Below are 12,618 nucleotides of genomic sequence, written 5' to 3'. Positions count from 1 at the left end.
TTAATACATTTTAGGTAATATCTAAATTTATTCATTGATTCATTCAAGAAATACTTATTGAGCACCTACTGTGTGCCAGGCAGGATGCTCCATAGTGCACAAAACCAAGCCTAAATTCTGTCCTCATCATGGGACAGATGATGTGCAGAAAATAGTCATACAAAACAAATGTGTGATTGCAACAGTGACAGAATCTACATGTTATAAGCTAAACATACAAGAGGAGGATAAAAAATCCCTTCTAAATATGAGGATCTGACCTCTGGAAGGTTCTTTGAGGGAACTCTGCTTGAGTGGAGTTCTGAAGGATTAGTAATTAAGTAGGAGGGAGGAGAGAACACTGAAGCATGAGCAAGGGCCTATGGCAGGAGGGAGTATTGCAAATGTGTGGAACATCTGGAGAAAGCCAGTGTGTCTGGAGTGGAGAGAGCCAAGGGAAGAAGGCATGAGGTATAATGATGCTCAGGAGAGGAGTACTATATGATTTACACTGCCAGTTATCACTCAATATCTATTCTCCCCTTCTTCCTCCATTTTTGGTGGGCTATGGCCACTTGGAAAAAAATATTATTACATTTTCCAGCCTCTCTTTCAGCTACCTGTAGCCATGTGACTAAATTCTGCACAGAAGGATGCAAGTAGAAGTGCTGTGTGCAATTCCTCCTTCCTGTGAGCTGAGATTTGGTTGCAATGGCTGGAGCTCAAGCAGCCCTCTTGGATTGTGAAGTGAAAACTGCATACTAAGGATGACAGAGCAGATAACTCAAGTAGTCTGAGTCCCCCATCACTTTAAGGAGTTGCTGTGCCAATCCTCACTGGTTGAAATGCAGACTCTTCACATAGAAAAGAAAACCTTATCTATTCAAACCCCTATTAACTTGGGTTTTCTGTCACTCATAGCCAAACCAAATCTTGATCTACATGACCTTGTCAGACTTGTTAGAGGTTTTGCCTTTATCCCAAGAGCAATGTGAAGCTTTGAAAGAGTATTAAGCTTAAATGTGCATATGCGTGTATGTGTCATGATCAGTTTTATATTTTGAAAATTTTACCTGCCTGCCGGTGGCAGGTTGGGAAGACAAGGGTAGAGAGAATAGAAACAGTAGAAACAGGAGGTTGCAGTTGCAGGTGAGAAATTATAAAATGGCAGTGGCTTTTGCTAGGGTTGTGGCTCTGGAGATACAGAGAAGTAGATTCTAGAGATAGTTGGGATGTGGAAACAACAGGACTTACTATTGTTAGGGATGTGACGCAGTGTGGGGAAAGAAGGCCTCAGAGAAATGGGTCCCCTACCTGGCTGGGGCTTCAGTGCAAGGTTCCAGAAATCCTGGCTCCAGAAGGGGAACTTTCCCTTTCTTATTCTTTGGAATATGGGTGGCCCCTTCCCAGCCCACACCCAGCCCTCGAAAATAGCTCAGCTCTGACACACCTCACCAGAGGCAGCCCTCAGAAACATTTTCCCAGGAACCTGGAAGGAGGAGAAAGTCGATAGCCTTGGGGGACTGGAAGAGAAGAGGAATGGAAAGAGGAACAGACCTGTCTTCAGGAGAAGCAACATCTCCCTGCACTGCAACCAGGCCATTGCCTTTGATGGTTCAGACTTGGCTAAGTTGCTGCCTGCTCTCTTCAGAAGCACCGGCATACAAAAGGGAGGGCTGAGTGTCTGATGAACTCAGCCCAATAATATTCACTTCTTTTATTTTCCAGGAATGTCATGAGACCCACAGGGCAATCTTCTGGTTTTAAGACCTGGTGAGTCAAGTCTACAAATACCTCTGACTCAATCTGATCCCAAGTTCTCACCAGGCATCTCCTAGGAACATGGCTCAGCAGGAGAGCTGGAACTGACCAGCCCTCTGCAGGGAACAGGAGGGTTGGTTTCTCTGCTTTGGGGTTTGGGGAGGGAGGGGGTGAGAAGGGCTGGCTGCAGTGGAAATGATGGGATTCTTGACTTGACACTGACCATGCTCACAATAAGAGCTGACATTTATTGTGTACTCTCTAACTCCAAGCCATGCGTTATCTCTTCTAATCTTCACAGAAAACTAGAAGTGGTTTCTGTCATCAATCCCATCTTACCATTGAGGAAATTGAGGCTCGGCTATGTTAGGAACCCTGGTCACTGGCACAGAGCTGTGATATGAACCAAGGCAGCTGATGCCAAGGCTATTCCATGTGAGGGAGGGCATGTGCTTTCTAGAGTTTTTGCAGGCATGGGAGGAGGACTGAGGAAAGCTAATATTTGAGGAGGGTCTGCTACACTCTAGGCCAGTTATATGCCACCTTGACTGCACATTAAAATCACCTGGGGAGTTTTATAAACACTATCGGTGCCCCTGACCAATTAAATCAGTATCTCTAGGAGTCATACCCAGACATCCTAGGTTTTAAAAGTTCTCCAGGTGATTCTAATATGCAATAAGGTCTGCTCAATAAAAGCAAGTTTCATGTTTTTTATTTTTTTTTCATTTAATGACCCTATATCCATTTGTAAATGGGGAAGCTGAGGCTCACAGAATTTGGATGGCTTGCACAAACCCCATGGCTGATAAGACCCATGTCTTGATCTATATCTGGCTGATTCCAACACCCATGTTTGTTCAGTTCATTCCATTCTCTCTCATATTTGGGCATCCTCTATTTTGAAAACATGTGATTTTTTTCTATTATAAATTTCTTTTACAATTTTCATTTTGTTTGTTCAAGTCCAAGTGCTGTTTAGGTCAGCTGCCTGAGAGTAGCAATGCAGTCTATAGCCACTGAGTCAGGAGGGTTGGCCCAGGGGCAGCTGAAACCACGGCCTTGGCTTCATCCAGGCTCTGCTGCAGCCAATGGACCAGGATCTCCGAAGAGATGTCCAGGAGCCCTGGCTGGGAGGTGCCCACTGACTCTCCCAGGCAGAATACTGGCCATCTTCTGTGGCTTTGACCCCTAAGGGGCCACCATCTGAGAATGAGAAGGCCCAGCCCTGGGGAAATCCCTAGTCTCTGTTTCTAGCAGTGCTAGTGATTTCCCAAGGAGTGACATTAGAAAAGTCATCACACATTTATTTCTGTATATATCATTCAGAGCCTAATTTTCTGGTGGCTGAGGGTTGAGCTCATCAGAAACAGACTTCATCATCAATTGATAATAAAGCCAAGTCAAGACAAGGGAGAAGGGCAGCCATCCAGATGGATTCAAGCAGCCAAGAGGTGCTTCTGCTCAAAGACTACCTTTAAAGAAGGGAAGAGAAAGAAGTGAGAGCAGATACCTGTACACCCATGTTCATAACAATATTATTCACGAGAGTCAAAAGGTGGAAGCAACCCAAGTGCCTATCCATGAATGAAAGAATAAACAAAATGTGGCACAAACATACAATGGAATATTGTTCAGCTTTAAAAAGGAAGGAAATTTTGATATATGCTACAAGATGGATAAACTTGGAGACCTCTGCCAAGTGAAATAAGCCAGTCACAAAGGCCAGTACACAAAACATTGTATGATTTCTTTTGTATGAAGTTCCTGGAGTGGTCAAATTGATAGAGACAGAAAGCAAAATGAGGGGGAGTTAGTGCTTAAAGGATACAGAGCTTCTGTTGGGAAGGATGAAGTTCTGGTGATGGTTGCCCAACTGTGTGAATGTACTTAATGCCACAGAACTATGTACTTAAAAATGGTTAAAATAGTAAATTTCATGTTGTGTATACTTTACCACAATAAAAAGGTGGAGGAGAAGTTTGACACCTTAATTCACAATTTTGTCCAAGCACTTGAAAGATCTATATATGGCATTACCATAAATGTTTATAAAATGGGAATGGGAAGAGCTGATAAAATAAATTGCTATGGAGAACATGATAGATCAGGTATGGGTTAAGCACCCCGGAGGCTCCTGAGGATGAGGATTACTTACCCAGTCCTGGACTCTAACTAAACATTAATGCCTCCTCAAAGATGTCTGGTTTTTTAGTCATCAGGGTGTCAAATTCTAGTAAAATGGCTTTGTTGAGACTGTGTGGATGCAGGTTGGGAGAAAGTAAAGTCTAGAGCCTGACACTTTCAGAACCACTCTTACACTCATCTGCATTATAAGCAAAGTGTTGCAACCTCCAAGCATTTCACAGCCAACCTTCTGGCTCAGGTCACTCATTCCCACTGGCAACACTGGCAAGTGTTTGGGTCAAGAGCTCCATGGTCCTCACCCAACTTCCAGACACCTCATCCCTTTATTGCTCACCCTACTCCAACTATTCCTTGAAGGCACCAAGCACATTCCCACCTCAGTGCCTTTACACTTGCTGTTCCTGCTGCCTGAAATGCTCTTCCCTCAGATATCTGCAGGCTGTCTCCCTCATCTCCGTCAGCCTTCACTCAAAGTCACCTTCTCAAGTGTGCTTTTCTGGCCACCCTAGTTAAAAGTGCCACCCTCCACTCTACCACATCATCTTCCTGTCCCCCTTGCTCTGACCACAGATGCTATCACTGTTCCACTCATATCCCCAGGGAATATGCCAGTGGAGGAAATTGCATGTGCAAATGCATGAGGCTTGGAAGACTGTGGCCTCAAAGGCCGTCTGAAATGGCTGGAGTGGAGCGTCCATGGGGCTGGGGGACTTCATGGAATGGCTTAAAGGGTAACGGAGGACAGAAGGTTGAGGGAGTTTGTCTACCAAGCTAAGGAATTTGAACTTTAGCAGGCAACGGGGAGCCACCAAAGGGTTTTAAGTAGGAAAGTAATAGATTTGATTTGCCTTTTAAAAAGATTACTTTGGCAGCCAGTGGAGTGGAGGCTGAAATGGATGGGATGAGGCTGGAGGCGAGAAGACCAAATGTAAAAGTAACATCTTGAACATTGATGAGCTCAAATGATGTTGCAGCAGAAGTGAACATAAGAGTGACATCCAGCCAGCCAGTATTGGAAGCAATTTTTTTTTTCTAGGAATAGATTGAATTTCAGCAAAAAGAAACTTTCCTGCCACCCTTTATGACAATCCTGTGAACGCTGGCTCCTGCCCTCATTCAAGTTGGCCACCCTTGGTCTTTCATGCATCACCATTCAATAAAAGCAAGCATGGGTTTTATGGGATTGTTTGGAGAGCCCTGAGCCAAAGTTTTCTACTCACTTAGGCAAGGCTGTTCTGCCAATTCTTAAATTGGCTGTTTTTTACATATAGGGTGTGAAAGATATCTCTATGCATCTCTAGGAACACACCCATTTGGAAGGAGACATATGTGACTATATATAATATCTTTATGTGCTTTTTGAAGGGATGTTTATACAACTTGCATATTATTTGGCATGAATATTTTTGTAGAATGGAGAAAGGGAGAGACAGCATGAGAAAGCTATTCCTATGCCATAACTGACTTTGGCTCATGAAACGAAATGCAAAATAGATTATGTTCCTTAGCAATGCCTCCTGGGTTGAATGGCTCCCAAGTCAACCCACTTAATCCTTCCTCCTGGAGGGTCACTCACCTTTGAACCTTCTTTTCTAAAACTACCATTAAAAAAAAATAACAATGATGTAGCCCAGTCCAGGCCCTACTGAAACCCAGGCTCCCTACCCCCAGAGGAAGAGCTCACCAAAAGAGTCATCTAGCTTCTAAAACTCGGGTTGCTTGAAGAACTTGATGGAAAGAGCAGGGTAGTAAAAGACAGCATTTTGGCTTTAACAAGGCTAGGAAGCCTAGAGTTGGGCCAGCTGTATAGTCTGAACTAACCCAAGAATATTAGAAGCCGGGGTCACATGGAGCTAGGACACCACCATTAATGTGGGGAGCAGAGACAGTCTGGCGAGGAGCGGAGGGAACGACTGCAGCCCCCTGCTGCCAGCTCCCACGTGAGTCAACCAGGAGGACGGGGGGACAGCTAGGATAGGCAGGCAGGAGGACTGATCCTGCAGGGTGAACGGGCAAGCTGCGCCCAGCCGTATGGAGTTCACTTGGGCCCTCTTCACACCATCAAGCTCCAGGACTTCCGGGGGGAGCCAAGGGTGACAGATGTGTCAGCCGGGACAGGCACCTCAGAGAAAAAGCCTCCTTGGTTTGTTCCATGGTGTTCCCTTGCCAAGTCCCCAACCCACACTGAGCAACCAAGCAGTAGGACACCCCATCTGGAGAGGAGGGAGGTGATGGCTCCATTCCCCAAAGCAATAGGCAGCAAGGTTTCCGACAAGGATGTTCAGTAAGTCAGCGGAACTGGCTGAGTCCTCTAGCACCTTCCATTTGCTTGGGGAATAAAGTAACACTGCCCAGCCCTGGACACACTTGGTAAACATCTGGTAAGAGGATAATCCTATTTCAGCATTCCATGGTGCCCTGGGAGCAGACGCTGGCTCTTAACAATTGATGCCTCTGGTGTCTGTTGCCACCTCTTACCACCATGCCCTTGCACTTAGAAGCAAATAATCCCAAGAGATGGCAGGGCCATATTCAGTTCCCTAGTTGTCCCATCCAGGCACTTTTAATGCCCAGTCCTTTCTCCTAAGAATTCCTCTGAGACCAGAGCTCCCAGCCTTGCCACTGTGTCTCTCCCTCAGGACATCTTTTCTAATTTGGGTCTGAGCTTTTCCATTCCTTCATTTCATGCCATTCCTTCTAATGATAACCCTTTGTGCCAGGCTCAATTACATACAAAGCTTAAATGAGCAACCCCAACTCTAAATTTGGCCCTGTCCATTGAAGGGGGTGGGGGTGGTGCCTTGGTCATTTGGCTTTGCTCAAAAAGAAAGATGCTACTCCCCATGGGGAAACAACGCCAAGGAGAGGGGGAAAATCTTTTGCAGAAATAAAAATCTAGAACGAAGAAACATACCAGTGCTGGCTGTCCCTGGTCACTGGGGCTTGAAGCTGCTTCTGCATCTTCAGCCAGGCCTGTTAGGACTCTTTGTCCCACTACAGGCATGCAGAAGCTACAGACATGCTTTGATTTTTCCTTTTAAAAACATCCTCCGATCTGACCCTACCTATGCTCTCCCTGCAAGGTTAGCAGAGGGTGAGATGAGAGCATTTGCCAGGAATTTCCTGACTTCTGTGAGTTTTTCTCAAGATCTAGTCATGAGTCAACATGATATACTGGGACACATGGTGGAGCTTGCAGTGGCCTCCCCTCCCTTCTGGAACTTTAGGAAAACCATGTCCCTGCTGAGTAACCCTGGGCAAAAATCCAGAAGGCCCCCTCCCTCTCCCTGACTCTCCCTCTGTACAGTCCCCAAGTTAGAGGAGATAAGGGAAATATATTTACAACAAACTTGATCAGACTATTAATATTCTCCAGAACTACACAAAGATCCCTGTTTATGCAGCTCACCTCCTTTCAAAATTAAGCTCTCTTGTATGGTTCCATTGCTCTTTATATTTTGGGCATTTAGAAAACCGGAGGAGGGGGTGATGAGGAGAGGAATGGAGAAGAAAGGAGAAGCATTGCCCAGATTCACAATGACAAGATCCGAGACCCTAACACACCCTCTGAGAGGCCCAGGTGAACTGGGCTGCCAGGTAGGTAGAACTATCTATGCAATTTTATTGATGTTGACAACCCATCTGAAATACTCAAACGAAGTAGATTCATTACAATTTCATGTGCGAGTTCTGACTACCAGAACTGGCTATCCTGGCCAGTGGAGTCCAGCCATGATCAGTTTCTGCTAGTGATAGTTTAGAATTACCCCTAAGAGTTTGGGGGAGAAGCTCAATAAAAATCAATGACATCCTTCGATAGATCTTTGAGTTAAAACAAATGGAGTGCTACCATGAGACTGTTAAATATCTGTGAAGCTTTGCCTCAACCCGGGTTAATGGGAGCAGATTCTGGGAAGCACTTTGCAAACTGTTAGATTGTAGCAAGGAATTGTTGGTATCACCATCGTTGAGGTTCACTAGCTTCAGCTCTTTGGGCCGAAGAAGATGAACGTCTTTTATGAATGTAGCATAGACTCACACCTGCAATCCCAGCACTTTGGGAGGCCAAGGTGGGCTGATTACCTGAGGTCAGGAGTTCGAGACGAGCCTGACCAATATGGTGAAACCCCGACTCTACTAAAAATACAAAAAAAATTCACCGGGTGTGGTGGCAGGCAGATGTAATCTCAGCTACTTGGGAGGCTGAGGCAGGAGAATTGCTTGAACCCGGGAGGCAGAGGTTGCAGTGAGCCGAGATCATGGCATTGCACTGCAGCCTGGGCAACAGAGCAACACTCTGTCTCAAAGGAAGAAAGGAAGGAAGGAAAGAAAGAGGAAAAGAAAGAGAGAAAGAGAAGGAAAGAAAGAAAGAAGAGAGAGGGTGGGAGGGAAAGAAAGATGAAAGAAAGAAGGAAGGAAGGAAGAGAAAGAAGAAAGAAAAAGAAAGAAAGAAGAAAGAAAAGAAAGAGAAAGAAAGAAAGAAAGAAAAAGAAAAGACTTTCTAATATCCTTGAGAATTTAGAGGTGAATATCTTTATTCCTGTCTTTCAAATGCAGAAACTGAGGGGCAAAGACATCAAGTGAGTTTCAGGCATTGAGGAAAATAGGACACAGCACCTCCGACCCCTTAGGCCCTTTATCTCCTTCTAGCCCAAGACCCTCAGGAAGGGTCAAGGCATCCTTAGTTGTGGAAAGCATAACTTGGGAAGGAAAATCTCAACTTGAAGGAAAAGCTTGCTGAGGAGAGAGGCCCTGTTTCTCCTCTCAGCCTTTCCTGTGTGCTGGTATCAACTGTCCAAGTAACAGATGGAGGTGGTAGGGCAGGTGGGCTGCTCTGCTGTCCCTGGCTGTGCTGGGGTCAAACTATCCACTCTCCCCATCGCAGCTGCCAGCCTGGCACGTTGTACCACCTGCCAGACCTGGTTCCTGAGGCCACAACAGAGTTCTCATACTTTCTACCATTCTGAGGGAAAAGTGAGATCAATATTTTCCAGGGCTCTTTCAACTGAGATGAAGAAGGCAACTGTCCTCTTCTCCACAGGCTTTTCTCCCCTTTCCTCACTTCCCCTGTCCTCTCACATGCAAGCACACAGGCCCATGGTCTCACCACCCCGGAAAAAGACAGCTCCCAGTTTCCTTCTCATTATGGGAAAAAAAATTCTGAATGGCTGCTTTTTCACATACATATAACAGCAAAAGGAGAACAAAATGAGGCAAAGAAGAATAAAATTTTAGTGAACTATAACTTTTATATTTTTATTTAAAAATGTTTATTATACATTATATTTTATTATATATTTTTATTATTTCTTTATTTGTTCATTTGCTTATTTATTTGTTGTAAGCCAGCAGAGCCTTTCCTTCTCCCAGCTGACCGTTTTCTACCATCTGCTGTCTGCCTGTTGAGGTGCAGGCCGCTGGGAGAGGCTTCCTGGAAGCAGAGCTTCCCCTGAAGCAGAAGTTCCCTGGATGTACGCAGTGGAGCCCAGGCTTTCTGTGAGACCCAGACCCAGGCCACTTTCATTGGCGGGCTCTGGAAACATTTTCTTTCAAACGCTCTGGGCTGTAGCTCACTTACACATAAAATGAGCAAAACAACACTCTTTCCCACAGCTATGCCATGAGGTTTAATTGTTGCAAATTTGTGAAGTGTTTTAAGATCCTTGGATTAAAGAAGTTATATGAGAAAAAAATGTTATTATAGAGTGGAATTCTGCTTAGTTGTCATATGTTTCCTGTAACTCTTCCCCTGTGTCTTATATAACTTGGAACAAGTAGTATGAGCTATGAGGCCTTCAGAAAGCCTTTAAGTAATTTCTTGGCCTGCTTTCTTTACCTTTTAAAAAAAATTCTTCTTCTACTTTTCCTTTTTTTTCTCTTTCTAATGCAGCCAAAACTTGTTCCCCTCTAATCTGTATGATGAGAAAGGAAGTTGCTTCAGTTGGGGTGGGCCCTTGTCCACGTGAGTACTTCCTCGTCTCTCCTCCCTTCCTCTCCCTTGCCTTTGCTCCCCACCTACATCTCTTCTTTTTATCCTCATATACACTTTCATAGATTGAAATAAATTTGACTTTGAGCCCTGGCTCTAAAATTTGCTCTGCCTCTTGGACCAATTGCCAAAACAGGTTACTGAGTGAGGCTCCCTGAAGCCAAGCCTGATGTGTGTCGAGGCTTGGTGATGGTGACAGAACAGAGCCTGGCTGACCAAGGAGCACAGGAGGCCCTGGGTGGCTCTTCCCCACTAGGACTTCCCAACATCAGCATCACACCCAAAATGCGGGAAAACACCCAGGCAGCTGCTACGGTGGCCATGAGGCAGCAGCCAAGAATGCCCCTTGTCCTGGCTGCAGCTGTGTCCCTAAGCAGGTGCTGCCTGGCGGCTGGGCATGCCTGCATGTGTCACATCCTCCCCTGGGCACACAGAAACACATCCCAGATCAGGGATACACACTGGCCCTCACAAGCAGCACTCTCAGGCCCCATGCCCGTCCTGAGGCCATGGAGATTGTGAGCATAAGATAGGCCCCAGGTGATGAATTCTTTGTAACCCAGTATCTCAGCCTCAAGATGCATTTAAACATTTTTTTTTCCTTTCTTACTTTCAGCCTTGAGGCAGACTTTGAAACTCTTTGCTTCTTCCTTTCCCACTGTGCACGCTTGTCTAATTATGAGCTTGCTTAGAAATTCCAGGGACCAACTTTGAAACATACCAGGCAGAGAGACCCAGCTGCAGGATCCTCCCACTCAAGAAGAGTTAGCAACAGTGAGCCCCCCACTGCCGGGCTGAAGTCAGTATGATGCGAATCAGACCTCCCCACAAGCCATTACCGAGATGGCCACAGAGCAGACAGGCGGACCTGCGCCCCTTTTCACTACTCCTGCCTATTCCCACACCTTTTCCTTCCTAAAACCCTTCCCTCGGCCTAAAAAGTTGGAATGATCTTCCAAAGGCATGAGCTTGGCCATACCCCAACCACCAGCATTTTCATAAAGTTGCTTTCCTTTCTCCACACCTCTCTTCTTCTGTTTTCTACCTCTGAGCGGCGAGCAGTCAGACTTCAGCCAGTTACAAAATGGGGCCCAGAGTCGCATTCCCTCTGCCCTCTGCCCTCTACCCTCAGCTAAAGGACCCTGAACAGATTAGAGGAACCCCCTTCCACTGACCCTACACCTCCCTGGCATCACTGCAAGGGACAGAGTGTCCCCAGAGGAGGAGGGAGCACTGACGCTGGCTCTCTGGCCCCGCACAGGGACTAAACAGCTACTGCCATCCCCACACCACCCTCATCCAAGAATTCTCAGTCGGGGTCCCACTTCTCTGCTCCCCACAGACCGGAAGAACCCAGTGAGGGAGGGCTAAAGTGAACCTGAGCCTGGGGACAGGACAGAACCAGGCAGCCTTCCTCCTGCACCTGGGCTCTTTTTTTTTTTTTTTTTTTTTTGTAATTTTCATTTTTGTGTGCACATAGTAGGTATATATATTTATGGGTTACATAAAATACTTCGATAGAGGAATGTGATGCATAATAACCATATCATGGAAAATGGGGTATCCCTCCCCTCAAGCATTTATCCTTTGTGCTATGTGTAATCCAATCAAATTATTATTGACTATAGTCACCCTGTTATACTATCAAATACTAGGTCTCGTTCATTCTTTCAATTTTTTCTTTTGGTACCCATTAACCATCCTCACTTTCCCCCCACCCCGCCTCCCCCTACCATAGGGGCCATGGTAATCTTCTCTGTATCCTTCCAATTTTAGTATATGTGCTGCCGAAGCAAGCACCCTGGGCCCTCTTTGTCTCTCATTCCTTCCTTACTCTTCCTCACCTGCTTCTCCTCAACCCCAACATTCACTCTTTTTCCCTCTTCTCCTACTGGTCTCCACTCCCACCCTCAGCCTGCCCTAGCTCCTTACCCCCAGCAACCTACTCTCTTCTTTTTTAAATTTAATTCTATTTTTAATTGATACATAATAATTATATATATTCATGGGATACATGATGATGTTTTGATACGTATAATGTATATTGACCAGATCAGGGTAATGAACATATCTATCTTCCCAAACTTTTACCATTTCTGTGTGTTGGGAGTATTCAATATCTTCCTCCTAGCTATTTGAAACTATATGACCGTTAACTACAGTGGTACAGAACACTAGAACTTATTTCTCTTATCTAGCTGTAATTTTGGATCCTTTAACAAATCTCTCCCCATACCTCCCTCTCAAGGCTGGTTGGTTATCTGGGGGTATGGGGAGCTGTGTGTTGCCTCTTCAACAAGAGGAGAGTAGGGACTGTGTCTCATACAGTGATACAGTCCCCTCCCTAAATGTTTTACTCACCCCTGCAGAAACAAAAACCAAACCAGAGAAGTATTTCACTTTTAAAAGGGGGTTTCCTAGAGGCTGTTTCCTAGCGTCTATGTAAATTCGGTCCCATGATAAACATGCTAGAACATTCTGAGCTGAACACAGTTAAATGGTTTCTTTCCCTTAGGAATTCTGAGGACCTTAACATGATAAAGAGCATCATAAACATCCGAGAGAGAGGCAGAATGTAGAGTTTTCCAAATTTATTTGAAACTCCCCTTTTCTAAGAAATATTTTGAGAGGCAAGGCAAACATCCCCTTGACCAATGCTGCAGGAGATGCCAGCTCCTCCAAGGCTGGCTCCACTCTAGAATTATGGACAGTGCCCAGCATAGGATCCTGGATAGGCCACC

General features: G+C 45.4%; 1 non-coding gene across 1 annotated transcript, besides 1 other annotated feature; it reads right to left on the bottom strand.

Moving 5' to 3' along the window:
• Nucleotides 886–2,085: an enhancer, noted in NCBI's record as "P300/CBP strongly-dependent group 1 enhancer chr6:45623433-45624632 (GRCh37/hg19 assembly coordinates)". NCBI's record gives its function as "activates an origin of replication core promoter dependent on BRD2, BRD4, P300/CBP, MED14 and CDK7 cofactors, with strong dependence on P300/CBP, by STARR-seq in HCT116 cells {active_cell/tissue: HCT116}" and the evidence as "EXISTENCE:reporter gene assay evidence [ECO:0000049][PMID:35650434]".
• On the bottom strand, nucleotides 11,571–11,677 carry LOC124901518 (U6 spliceosomal RNA). Its single transcript, XR_007059942.1, has one exon. It is a non-coding gene; the product is annotated as a U6 spliceosomal RNA (small nuclear RNA).
• Nucleotides 11,678–12,618: the final 941 nt, after the last annotated feature.

Source organism: Homo sapiens, chromosome 6, assembly GCF_000001405.40.
Source record: "Homo sapiens chromosome 6, GRCh38.p14 Primary Assembly".
In the NCBI taxonomy this organism is placed as follows: domain Eukaryota; kingdom Metazoa; phylum Chordata; class Mammalia; order Primates; family Hominidae; genus Homo; species Homo sapiens.
Note: the sequence above shows the minus strand (reverse complement) of the source record. Positions and strands in the feature narration are given on the sequence as shown.